Source organism: Homo sapiens, chromosome 2 (assembly GCF_000001405.40).
Source record: "Homo sapiens chromosome 2, GRCh38.p14 Primary Assembly".
Lineage (NCBI taxonomy): Eukaryota > Metazoa > Chordata > Mammalia > Primates > Hominidae > Homo > Homo sapiens.
In genome coordinates this window covers 208,288,972-208,302,961 of record NC_000002.12, presented here as the reverse complement: position 1 = coordinate 208,302,961, position 13,990 = coordinate 208,288,972, and the positions used below count along the sequence as shown (strand labels likewise).

Here is a 13,990-nt window from a genome sequence, read left to right as displayed (position 1 = left end):
CACAGGTGTCCACCACCATGCCTGGCTAATTTTTTTGTATTTTTAGTAGAGACGGGATTTCACCATGTTAGCCAGGATGGTCTCGATCTCCTGACCTCAGGTGATGCACCCACCTCAGCCTCCCAAAGTGCTGGGATTACAAGCGTGAGCCACCGTACCCAGCCATCATCACTAGTTATACAATAGTTCTAGAGTCAAAATGATTTCAATAGATGCCATAAAATTTTTCATTTTATTATTTATACTCTCAGTTCTAAAAGCATAGGCCTAATAAAACCAAAAACCATTAAAGTTAAATGATAAGCAACTATAAAGACCATAAACCCAAATTTAAGAACTACCACACCAACTGAAAAAAGTGTTTGATTATCTTTTTCCTTTTTTATTGTCTGATCAAATTTAAAGTAAACAATAAAATGTTTGATTCTAATGGCAGCTTTTTCATCACTGCTGCCTACCAAGTAAAAAAAGTTTTAACTTTCCTCAAACAGCAGGAAAAAATGTTAGAAAAATCATCTTCTAATAAACTACTTTTTATTCCCACTGATGAAGAAAGACTATAAAATAAGCTTGCTACATTCTAATTGGCAGTAAACACTGAAAAGTACCTGCAGTGGTCTATACAGCGCATACTCATCTCTGAAAAGCTGGTCGTGATGACTAACACAATCCAGCCAACGTCCATCAACCATTGCTTGTCCAATTGCTATAGCTTGTGCCCTGAATCAAGACCCACAAAAATGAAAAGTTTTAAAAGTCAGTCAGAATAGTTAAGTACCAGATAAGACACAACCTTAAAATATTTTTTTTCAGTTCTAATCAGAGTTAGAATTTCAAATGGCCCTTGGATAAGTAAAGGACGAAACGAGAGAGTTAAAGCAAACTAAAAGATTCTTCCAGGTACTATAGTAAAGGAGAAGAAACTACTGGTAAGGCAGTCCCAACAAAACCTAATTTTAATAACAGCAAGCATTGACTGAGTATTCAATGCACGCACAACCCTATACTTAACAGATTTTAAAATGTTGAGAAAAGCTCCTACCTTCAAGGAGCTTAGTTTTAATAAGACAATACCAAATATTACAGATACAGCCATAAAATGTGTGTGTGTGTATATATATATATGAAATAGACACTTAATGACACCATACATTATATGGCATTTCACAATTTATAAAGCACTTCAGCCACTATTATTTCATCCCCCACAGTTTATTCACAGGACCACACAATTTTCCTCATGGTGAAGAAGTCTCAGAGATTGAATAATGTGACTAAAAGCACAAAGCTAAAAAATATATACAGCCAAAATTGCAACCAGGGCTTTACTGCTTAAAGCTATTTCTCTCTTTACTTCATTACGTACCTTTTTCTTCCCATGAGAGGAGGAGTAGCTAATCTGAGAAAATAGTAAAAGCTAGGGGATACATGTATTTGAAAAGCAGGACCTGTCTGTTACTCTTTTTTATAAATGATTTGTGAGGCAAGCTAGGACCCGACAGGCATAGCTTATGGATCAAATACTCAACACAGGTTACAACCTGTCTAGATTAGTGAACAGTAGCTGGGGAATTCTTTGGCCTTAGGTTCCAGCTACCTTCTCTAATCCTCCTTTGCTAGAGAGTTCTTCTGCTTTTAATAAGGTAAATTAAGATCCTATTTGGCTCCTTGTACTCCTTGCATCTGTTCTCTGCTGGTTAAAACTCAGATTGGAGGAGGGTTAAGTAATTAGCACCCTAAACCATCAATTACATAAAACAAAGAGCACCCTAACTCTACAAAGAAATCTGTAACTCTTACTATCTTCAAATATGTTTTCTCATTCAAAATAAACAAATAATATTGAAACCTTCTAAGATCAGAATACCTTGTGGCAATATGCCCATTTCGGATTAGCCAGTTGACTAATTCCTTTCCTACAATGCAGTTGGGATGCGTTCTCAACCAGTAGCGGTGATCCTGAAACTCCATTCCACTGCTGTGATGGCAGATTTTTTTCCACAGGTCTTTTAACTGCACACTGTCCTGCAATCACATTAACAGCAAGTAGTTACCCTTGAGAAAAATGCTATATACCTTTTCAGATGTTTTCCTGTGATTTTTAGACTCATAAAAGGAAACCTAACTTGGATTTCTTTATGGTAGCTAACTCACACAATTTAATACAAATGTCATATACGTGGGAACAGCTTGAACTCTGCTCATCTAATTCCAAACATAACTTTTTCTCTTGAAAACCAACTATTCCAAATACTTCTTTTTTCAGTCAATGGCACATATTATCAATCTCCTATTTATGTATTCTTCTTTGGAGATGGGGCAAGGCAGAGGGAGACAACAGTTAATCACACTAACCTAAGGTAACTGTTCCTAGAGGCTTTCACTCCACCAGATTCTCACTGTGTACCCAACTGACAGATGAGTTTTTTAAAAAGAAGAGCTTCAGTAAATTACTCCCTGCTCAAAAAAATTCTGAATGTTCCTCAGCAACTAAAGTTTCAAATCTACACCTGTAAGTACAGAATTCATTGCCTTCCACCAGGTAGTCCCAAATAACTTTCCTTTCTCATTGCCCCCAGACTCCTACTTAAACTCTCTCCCAATTAAAAAATCCTACTTCTGGCCATGGAAAATGTCATGCTTATTCTTACCTCTGTATCTTTCTTCACACCTTTAAATAAGATTCACCTTCCTCACTGCCTATCCAAAATGATTCCATCTCTCAAGGTCCAGTTCAAGTCCTTCAGTTTAAGCCTTTTTCTGATTCCCTCATTAGTAATGAGCTTTCTGTTTTTTTGAATTCTTACATGACATATAGTCATTTATTTATTTGACACTTTTTTATTATTAAAGTATTACTACTTCCACTATTAAGGATCTTCCCACTGATCTTATTTCTACCTTTTGTGGGTTTGCTGGTTTGTTTGTTGTCTTAGAGACAAGGTCTTGCTATGTTGCCCAGGCTGGAGTGCAGTGGCTATTCACAGCCATGATCACAGCACCCTACAGCCTCAAACCCCTGGCCTCAAGAGTCCTCTCACCCTAGCCTCCCAAGTAGCTGGGACTACACGTGCATGCCACCACACCTGGCTCTTATTTCTACTTTTGAATTATAAGCTTGAGGACACAGCCATACCTTCCATTTCTCTGAGTCACTCTTAGAATTGAACACAGTATTTTATGCACAGATAAATTCAATAAGCAACTGATTATTTCATATAAACATATAGTATTAAATGTCTGAAAAGTGTTACATGTGTATAACAAACATGCTTCAAAGCTTAAATAGCAATATGGGATCTAAGAGTTAAGCTCTCTTATTACATAGGTAACTGAATTCTGATTTTACCAGATAAAAGGGTAAAGAAAATACTGGCCAGGCGCGGTGGCTCACGCCTGTAATCCCAGCACTTTGTGAGGCCAAGGCAGGGAGATCACGAGGTCAGGAGATTGAGACCATCCTGACCAACACTGTGAAACCCCGTCTCTACTAAAAATACAAAAATTAGCTCAGTGTGGTGGCACATGCCTGTAGTCCCAGCTACTCAGGAGGCTGAGGCAGGAGAATCGCTGGAACCTGGGAGGCGGAGGTTGCAGTGAGCCGAGATTGCGCCACTGCACTCCAGCCTGGTGACAGAGCGAGACTCCATCTCCAAAAAAAATAATAATAATAAAGAAAGAAAGAAAAGAAAATATTAATGCAATGAGTATAGAATACTTGACCCATCTCTCAGGTGATCCTAGTAAAACTGAAGCTAAGCACTTCTGTTTAACTGATATGCTATTTCACTTATATATTTCTTATTAAAAAGACTCAGTGACAGGCTGGGTGCAGTGGCTCACACCTGTAATCCCAGCACTCTGGGAGCCAAGGCGGGCAGATCACTTGAGGTCAGGAGTTTGAGACCAGCCTAGCCAACAGGGCGAAACCATGTCTCTACTAAAAATACAAAAAATTAGGTGTAGTGGCATGCGCCTGTAATCCCAGCTACTCAGGAGACTAAGGCACCAGAATCGCTTGAATCTGAGAGGCAGAGGTTGCAGGGAGCCAAGATCACACCACTGCACCCCAGCCTGGGCAGCACACCAAGACCGTGTCTCAAAAAGAAAAAAAAAGACTCAGTCACATGAACATTCTCTATGCTCAAAACTAGCAATGGGTCAAAGATACTGGACCAGTACCAGAAGAATTTTGCGTTCATCCTCAGTGGTCTCTGTCCTAACATATGTTCGGTTAGCCTGGGGACTGACAGATGTCTCATATGAAGGTACCATAGGAGAACCAGATCTATCCAGTGACAGGTTAGTAATGCTGGCTGATCTGGAAATAAAAACAAGAAGTGAAATCACAGGTGTAAATTCTTCTTCAATAAACAGAATTACAGAGAAAATTCATTTTTAAATAAATGCTTATTTACCAATGTTAAGGGTACTTTTAAAAGTACTTATGATGGTTATGCATGATATTATCATTGGGAGAAATTTGGTAAAGGATACCCAGAAACTCTCTGTACGATATTTGCAACCCTATGTAAGTCTATATTTTGCAATTCTATGTGTGTCTAAAATTACTTGGAAATAAGTTTAAAAGAAAGTAGTTATGGAAAGATTACAGGAAAACAATTACATAGTTCATATATCAGTAATATTTCAAAGGGAATAGATACAAAGTCTTCTTGTTAAAATGCTGTAAGTTAGTGGATTTTTTTTTTAATAACAAATATAAAGAATGAAATTAAATGCAGAAATAATCTTGCAGATCAGAGTCAGGAAACTATGGCCCACAGGCCAAATCTAGCCTTCTTCCTCTTTCTGTATAGCCCATGAACTAAGAAGGTTTTATAGTTAAATATCTGCAATGCAATCAATCTGATGAAGGGAACACCAATTTTGACGCCCAAATAAGCAAAATGTTATGACCAAAAAAAGAATTCCTTTCTTCTCACTAGTAGACCTATATTTAAAATATTGTCCTCAAATATTATTACATTATGCTATTTTGTCAGTAGAAAAATTACAAGAAATTTGTTTCTTCTCATAATATCAGTATTCATACATATCCTTAATTTTGACTCTTGGTAAAGTTACCAAACAAATGACTTAGAAGTGGAATACCAATAGCATCAAGGAAACTTTAATTTATTTAAAAGAAAGGGTAACTAGAAATTTAGTTGGCTTCTATCTAGAAAAAAATTAAACCCAATTTTAGCCTCCACATAAAGGATAAAAGGCAAAAGCACCTATGATATGTTAGACTACATATATGTAACTCATTCATTAGGGCAGTATCTGTATCTTCCCACATTTAATCTTCACAGCATCCTATGGAATATGTATTACTAGCTCTATTTTACAGATAAAGAAATCAAGAATAAGGGATTAAGTAATCTGCCTAAAGTAGCTCGCCTAATATGTATCAGGGCTGCCACCTAGAATTAGGTGTCAATTGAAAAACCAATATTTCCCCAGTATAAAGATAAAAATATTTTTTAAATAATTTAAGAAAGTATTCACAGGTTTAGCAAAGTGTCAGTTAACAGGAAATCACTGATATCAAATAGCCGATAAGCAATTTTTAAAAATAATTGGTTATTTATTTCTTGGCATAGTCTTTCAGTGAAAGCTTGCTATTATTTCTTAATTTAATCTCTTTTCCAATGGGTGCATTATCCATACATTCTACTTCTCTATCATTTTAACCATCCTTGCACATATTCTAATATAGTGGCAACAAGAATAAAAGAAAATTAGTCAATTTTAATGTCAAAAGCTGTAATAAATAGCCTAGTAGCAAGAATACTGATTAAAATTATATTTAGAGACAGCATTCATTGACTAAATTACGTCTTTCCTAAAGACTTACATCAGTCTTAGCATTAATTCAAAACACATGGAGATAGACTGTAAATTAGCACAGGTATCCCTACACTTCTACACATGCCAACAGGAATACTGTAATTTTCCCCATCTTTTTAAAAAGCCATCTCCTGACTCCACATCCCTCGGCTGCATTTCCCTCTACTTTACAGCAAAACTCTCATCTCCAGTAATTCTTCCATTATCTCTTAAACCCCAAACAACCCACTGAGACTGCCTATCAAGATTACCAATGTTGTTGTTAAATCCAATAGTCAGTTTTCACTCCTCATCTTACTTAACATATCAGCAGCATAACTCCCTTTCCTTGAAAAACTTTCTCCACTTGACTAATAAGATAAATACCCTCCTGGTTTCCCTGTCCCCTCACTGGCCTCTCCCCGTCTCCTTTTCTGGTTTCTCTTGATTTCTCCAATCTCAGTCCTTAGTCCTTATTTCCTCCCTTTTCACACTCATTCTCTTGATGATCTCCATCCAAGTTCATAAATACCATACACATGATGACAACATCCAAGTTTACATCTCTAGCCTGTAGCCCTCCCCTAAATTCTGGACTCATATATCCAACTATTTGACATCTCACTTGGATGTCTAGAAGATATCTCAAATTCAACACATCTAAAACCAAACTGTTCCTCCCAGTTGGTAATTCCACCCCTCCAACTGCTCAGGTCAAAGACCTGAGTCACCTTTGATGTCTTTCTGTTGAAGCCTACATCCAGTTGATTAGCAAATCCTATTAGCTCTACAATCAAAATATATTTAGAATTTGTCTGTTTCGTCCAGGCGTGGTGGCTCACACCTATAATCCCAGCACTTTGGGAGGCCGAGGCAGGTGGATCACCTGAGGTCAGGAGTTTGAGACCAGCCTGGCCAACATGGTGAGACTCTGTCTCTATTAAAAATACAAAAATTAGCCAGGCATGCTAGCAGGTGCCTGTAATCCCAGGCTAGCGGGAGACTGAGGCACAAGAATTGCTTGAACCTAGGAGGCAGAGGTTGCAATGAGGTGAAATTGCGCCACTGCACTCCAGCCTGGGCAACAAAGCGAGACTGTCTAAAAAAAAAAAATGTCATGTCATCCTTCCACACTCCACCCAAAACTCTCCAACAACGGAAAGCTTTTCAGAGTAGAATGTCAACTAATAAGTGTAAAAGCAATGATAGACTTAGAAAAATCACCATTTTGCAAACATAATAACATTGCATTTCAACAAGTATCATAAATGAATGCTGAAACTATTGACTGAAAGATTAGTAAGATATAGGGTATTCATGCAGTTTCAAAGTATCTCCCCCACATATTACTTACCAATTACAAAGGATAAAATAGTAACTTTACAGTGGAGAAACCTAACATGTGAGAGATCAACTCAACAACACCAATGGGATAAACTTGTATTGTGTCCTTTATAACATAACAGATTGAGAAGGATGTAGCACTCATGGAGTATTACTGCCCCAAAACTCCACAGCCCAAATCTAATCATAGGAAGCTTTTGATAAACTTAAATTGAAGGGCATTTTACTAAACAACTGGTCTATCCTCTTCACAAAGAAAGACTAAGATACTGTTACAGAGTAAAGAAAACCAAGACATATGACAAATAAGTTCAATATGATTCTGAACTGCATCACAGATTGGGGGGAAAATCAGTACAAAAAAACATTATTAGGACAATTGGCAAAATCAGAATACCTACAGTATATTACATAATAGAAATGTACCACTGTTACAATTTCCTAAATTTGTTATGTAAGAGAACATGATTGTTCTGAGGAAAAACACTTAAGTATTCAAAAGTAAAAAATAGAACTTTCTACTTCTGGTCTAGCACGTGAGCATCTTCACTCCATCTCAACAACTAAAACCTGAACAAAGAGAAAAATCATCAACTGTTCTTAGGTCCATCAGAGAAGTCAGGTCACAAGCCAAATCCTGCTCCAAATACTGCAGACAGACAAGCAGATACAGAGGATCACAACTCACTGGAGCAGAAACCTCCATGGGAACCAGTAATAGGGTAGGAAAACCTAAAATCAAATTGACAAATTCCTTGAAGCTCAGTGTAGACAAACCAGAGATACAAATTCTAGGTGAACCCAGTCATGGGGGTAGTGGGGATGCTTTTGGGAGTTTCACTTCCAGATCTACCACGTCCTCACAGTGAATGTCAGAAAAATTCCCTCCGGCTTCTGGCTTCCAGCAGAGGGAGAGAATAAAGAACTTAAAAATACGTCAGAGCATTCTGTTCTTCATAACAAGTCCTGCCCTGAGGAGAAACTATTTTACCAGAGCCTAACCTGCTGGAGTTATATCAGAGCTTAACCTACCCAGGGAGAAGGAAATCCCCAACCACAGCCCCTTCTAGCCTTCCACATGGGGGAAGAAAAATCCCCAACTCCAGCCCCCTCCAGCCATTCTGTCTCACCTAAGGGGAAAAAAACGAAAAGCCCTGATAAAGTTTACAGTTCAGGGGCACAGGCTCACCTGTGACAGTGATTCACAGGACTAGAGACCACTTAACCTCCCCCTACATCCTATCACTACATCACTAAAGGCCTATTTACCATAGTTCCTTTTACCCAGTACAGCATGTCCACCTTTCAACAAAAAATCACAAGGCATAATGAAAGCCAAAAAACACAGTTCAAAGACACTGAACAAGCATCCGAAACAGGCTCAACATGAATGTGGGAATTATCAGTCTAGGAATTGTTTTTAAACTATAATTAATATGCTAAGGGTGTTAATGCGAAAAGTAAACAACAGGCAAGAACAGATAATATAAGCAGAGAGATGGATATTCTAAGAAAGAAGCAAAAAGGAAATGCAAGAGATCAAAAACACCATAACATTAAAGAAGAGTGCCTTTGATGGACTCTTAGTAGACTAGACAGAGGTAAGGAAAGAATCTTTGAACTTGAGGCTATCTCAACGGAAACTGCCAAAACTGAAAAGCAAATAGAAAAAAGACTGAACAAACAATATCCAAGAAATGTGGGACAACTACAAAAGGTATAATATAAATGTAATGGGAATACCGAAAAAAGAAGAAAGAGAGAAAGGAACACAAGCAATATTTGAAGCCATAATCACTGAGAATTTCCCACAAATTAATGTCAGATGCCAAGCCACAGGTCCAGGAAGCTCAGAGAACACAAGCGTGGATAAATGTCAAAAAAACTACACATAGGCAAAACTAAGTGTATTCAAATGGCAGAAAGTCAAAAATAAAGAAAAAGATCTTGAAAAAGACCACCTTAAAGACCAAGCATGGTGGCTCACACCTGTAATCCCTGCACTTTGGGAAGCCAAAGCAAGAGGATCGCTTGAGGCCAGGAGTTTGAGACCAGCCTGGGCAACACAGCAAGACCCCATCTCTATTTAAAGAAAAAAAAAAAAAAACCTTACCTGTAGAGTATCAAAGATAATAAATACATCTGACTTCTCCTCAGAAGCCACGCAAGCAAAAAGAATGAAATGAAATATTTAAGATGTTGAGAGAAAAAAGCCATCAACCTACAATTCTGTACCCTGATGATACCCTTCAAAAGTGAAGGAGAAGTAAAGCCTTTCTTAGACAAATGAAAACTGAGGGAATTTTTTGCCAGTAGACCTGCCTTGCAAAAAATGCTGAAAAGGCAGAGAGAAGGAATATGATATAGGTCAGAAACTTACATCTATTAATACACAAAGAAAAGCATCAAAGAAGGAATAAGTTAAAGTAAAAACTTTTCTTTTTCTTACTCTTAGTTGATGTAACAGATAACTATTTCTTCAAAATAATAGCAACAATATATTCAATTATGTATGTACGCATGCTTATATGTAAGTGAAATGAATGCCAGTAATACAACAGATGGGAGGGAAAAATTGGGAGTATTTTGTTATAAGGTATTTGCATTACCTGTGAAGTAGTATAGTATTATTTGAAAGTAAATGTGGATTAGTTGTAAGTTACATTGCAAACTCTAGGGCAATCATTAAAAAAAAAAAAAGAATGTAACTCGTATCCTTTAAAAAGGAGAGAAAATGGAATAACATAAAATGCTCAATTAAATACATAAAGGTGGAAAAGGTACAGAAGACAAAAACAGGAAGAACAAGGGCAACAAGTAGAAAACAGTAACAAATACGGCAGGGATTACTCTAACTACATCAGTAATCACCTTAAATGTCAATAGTCTAAATACACCAACTAAAAGACAGAGATGGTTAGAATGGATCAAAACCAAGACCCAAAAATACATTGTCTACAAGAAACCTAATTTAAATACAAAGACACATACAGATTAAAAAATAAGTGAAGGGTCAAAATGTCACTATTTACCCCATAAATATGCACAATTATTATGTGTCAATTTTAAAAATTAATTTTTAAATTTTTAAATGAAATCAAAACAGGATACATGAACAAAAGGAAATAGATGGAGAAAGATAAACCATGTTAACGCTAATAAAAAAAAGAGCAGGAGTAACTATATTAATTTTCAGGCAGAACAGACTTCAGAGCAATCAAAGATAAAAAGGGAAATTACATAATGATAAAGAAATCAATATTCCAAAAGACAGAACAATCCTTAATATGTATGCTCGCTCCTAACAACAGAGTACCAAAATATATGAGGCAAAAACTGATAGAACTACAGGAGAAATGGACGAATTCATTATTATAGCTGGAGACTTTAACCCCTCTATCAGAGATGGATACATCCAGCAGAGAGAAAATCAATAACAACATAGCTGAACTCAACAACACCATTAATCAGGTGGATATAATGAATATCTTATAGACTGTTTAATTCAACAACAGAATGCACATTCCTCTCAAGTAACATGGAACATTCACCAAAACACACCACATTCTGGGCCATAAAACACACCATAAAAAATTTAAGAGTAGAAATCATACAATGTCTGCCTTCAACAACCAACATGGAATCAAACTAGAAATCATTAACAGAAAGACAGCTACAAAATCCCAAAATCCTTGGAGATGAAACAACACACTTGTAAAAAAAAATACATGAGTCAAAGAAGAATATAAAGAAACATTTTTAAATATTTGTAACTAAATGAAAATGAAAACACAACCTAACTAAATTCGTGGAATGCAACAGAAAGCAGTGCTTAGCAGGAAATTCATAGCACGAAGCGCATACATTTAAAAAGAAGATCTAAAATCAATCATCTAAGCTTCCACCTTAGGGAACAAAGTGTTTGTCAAAAAGCATATTAAATCCAAAGTGAGCACAGGAAAAATAATAATAAAGATTAGAGAAGAAGTCAATAGAGAAAATCAACAAAGCCAAAGCTGGTTCTTTGAAAAGATCAATAAAATCAGTAAGTATCCAGCCAGGCTGAGAAAAAAAAGGGAGAAAACACAAAGTACTAATATCAGAAATGAAAATCGAAACAGACCTATTTCTCTTAAAGAAATTGAATCAATAACTGGTAACTTTCCAAAACAGAAAGCACCAGGCCCAGATGCATTCACTGGTGAATTCTACCAAACATTTAAGAAATAAATTATGTCAATTCTCCACAAAATTTTCCTGAAGATAGAATCAGAGGAAATACTTTCTAACTCAGTCTGTGAGGCCAGGATTTCCCTAATACCAAAACCAGACAAAGACATGACAAGAAAAGGAAACCATACACTATTATCCTCAACAAAACAGTAACAAATCCAATCCAACAATGTATAAAAAACTATATAAACCACGACCAAATGGAATTTATCCCAGGCATGCAAGGCTGGTTCAACATTCAAAAATCAATTAATATAACCCATCACATCAAGTTACAGAAGAATAATTATGTAATCATGTCATTGATACAGAAAAAGCATTTGACAAAATCCAACACTCCTTCATTATAAAAACTCTCAGTAAACTAGGAATAGAGGAAACTTCCCCAACATGATAAAGAGTATCTACGAAAAACAACATACAGCTAACATCATACTTAATGGTGAGAAACTCAAAGCTTTCCCACTAAGATCAGGAACAAGGAAAGGATGTCCCCTCTCACTACTCCTTTTCAACATTGGACTAGAAGTTTTAGCTAATGAAATAAGACAGGAAAAGGAAATAAAAAGTACACTGATTGGGAAGGAAGAAACAAAACTTTGTTCGATGACAAGACTGTTTATATAGAAAATCCAAAAGAACTAACGAACTCCTGAAATTAGTAAGTGATTATAGCAAGGTGGCAGGATACAAGATTAATATACAAAAGTCAATCACATGAGATAATACTACACACCCATTAAAACTGCCAAAATCCAAAACTGACAACACCAAATGTGATGAGGATGTGAAACAACAGGAACTCTCATTCATTGCTGGTAGGAATGCAAAATGGTAAAACCACTTTGGAAAAAAGTCTAGCAGTGCCTCACAAAATTAAACATAATCTTACCATAGGACTCAGCAATCATGCTCCTTGGTATTTATCCATATGAATTGAAAATTACACCCACAAAAAAACCTATACTCAGATGTTATAACAGCCTTGCTCGTAACTGATAAAACTTAGAAGCAATCAAGATGTCCTTCAGTAGGTGAGTAGATAAACTATAGTGTATCCAGCCAATGGGATATTATTCATCACTTAGAAATGAGCTATCAAGCTATGGAAAGACATAGAGAAAACTTAAATGCGTATTAGTAGGTGAAAGAAGCCTATCCGAAAAGTCTACACACTGTATAATTCCAACTATATGGCATTCTGGGAAAAGTAAAACTATGGAGACAGTAAAAAAGATTAATGATTGTCATGGGTTGGGGAGAGGAAGGGATAAATAGGAGAAGCCCAGTAGACTTTTTGGGCAGAGGAACTATTCCGTAGGATACAACAATGACAGACGCACGTCATTATACATTTGTCCAAATCCATAGAATATTCAACACCAAGAGTGAATTCTAATGTTAACTATTAACTTTTAGACGATGATCATGTGTCAAAGTAGGTCCACTGAATACAATATGCCACTCTAGTGCAGGACACCGATAGTCATGAAGATTGTGCATGTGTGGGGACAGGGGCTATAGGGGAACTCTCTGTACTTTCTGCTCATTTTTTGTATGAACCTTAAAACTGCTATAAAAAATAAACTTAATAAAAATATATAAAGGATAATGATGTCTGCAACTTACTCTCAGATGGTTCAGAAAATATGCATACATGTATATACAATATAAAAAACGATGGCCAGATGCAGTGGCTCACACCTGTAATCTCAGCACTTTAGGAGTCCGAGGTGGGAAGATCGCTTGAGGTCAGAAGTTCAAGACCATCCTGAACAACAAAGTGAAACCCCATCTCTGTATTTTACTAAAAAATAACAGGCTGGGCTCGGTGGCTCATGCCTGTAATCCCAACACTTTGGGAGGCCGAGGTGGGTGGATCATGAGGTCAGGAGATCAAGACCATCCTGGCTAACACGGTGAAACCCCGTCTCTACTAAAAATACAAAAAAATTAGCTGGGCATGGTGATGGGCGCCTGTAGTCCCAGCTACTCAGGAAGCTGAGGCAGGAGAATGGCATGAACCCAGGAGGCAGAGCTTGCAGTGAGCTGAGATCACACCACCGCACTCCAGCCTGGCGAGAGAGTGAGACTCCGTCTCAAAAATAATAATAAGATAAATAAAAATTAAAAAAAGAAAAAATGAGAAAGCAAAGGGACAAAATATAAATTAGTAAATCTTAATGAAAAATACATGAAGATATATTTTTCTATTCTCGCAACTTTTCTGCATGTTTGACATTTTTTCAAAGCAATTAAAAATTAACGACAAAAAATGTAAAACTCTCCAACAGCTTCCCATCTCACTCAGAGTAAATGACAGAGTCCTTATAATTAACTCTAAGACTGCTCTACTCCATTATCATAGGATTCCTTGTTATTCCTTGCCAAGTGTATTTCCTCTCAGGAATTTGTTATTCCTGTTTTCTTGGGACACTCCTCCACAAAATGTCCACATGGCTCCTTCCCTCACATCCTTCACGTCTTATTTAACCAGAAGAGAAAGGATGGTGTAGGTTCCAAACCCGGAAGCCACTGGAGAATACTGGAAAGTCACTGAGAGAATGGAAACAAGGGC

General features: G+C 36.8%; 1 protein-coding gene across 41 annotated transcripts in view; it reads right to left on the bottom strand.

Annotated features, from left to right (window-relative positions):
• The window catches only part of PIKFYVE (phosphoinositide kinase, FYVE-type zinc finger containing), a 92,691-nt gene that overhangs the window by 55,785 nt on the left and 22,916 nt on the right, over positions 1–13,990 (bottom strand). For all 41 annotated transcript variants that reach the window (XR_007070607.1, XM_011510779.3, XM_047443667.1 and 38 more), the window contains 3 exons: positions 4,183–4,321; positions 1,868–2,025; positions 609–720 (listed from right to left, as the gene is read on the bottom strand). Coding sequence is in view for 40 of the 41 variants with exons in the window: in XM_011510779.3 (XP_011509081.1) it covers positions 609–720; positions 1,868–2,025; positions 4,183–4,321 (409 nt within the window). In the remaining variant the exon portion in view is untranslated. The remainder of the gene's footprint in view (positions 1–608; positions 721–1,867; positions 2,026–4,182; positions 4,322–13,990) is intronic.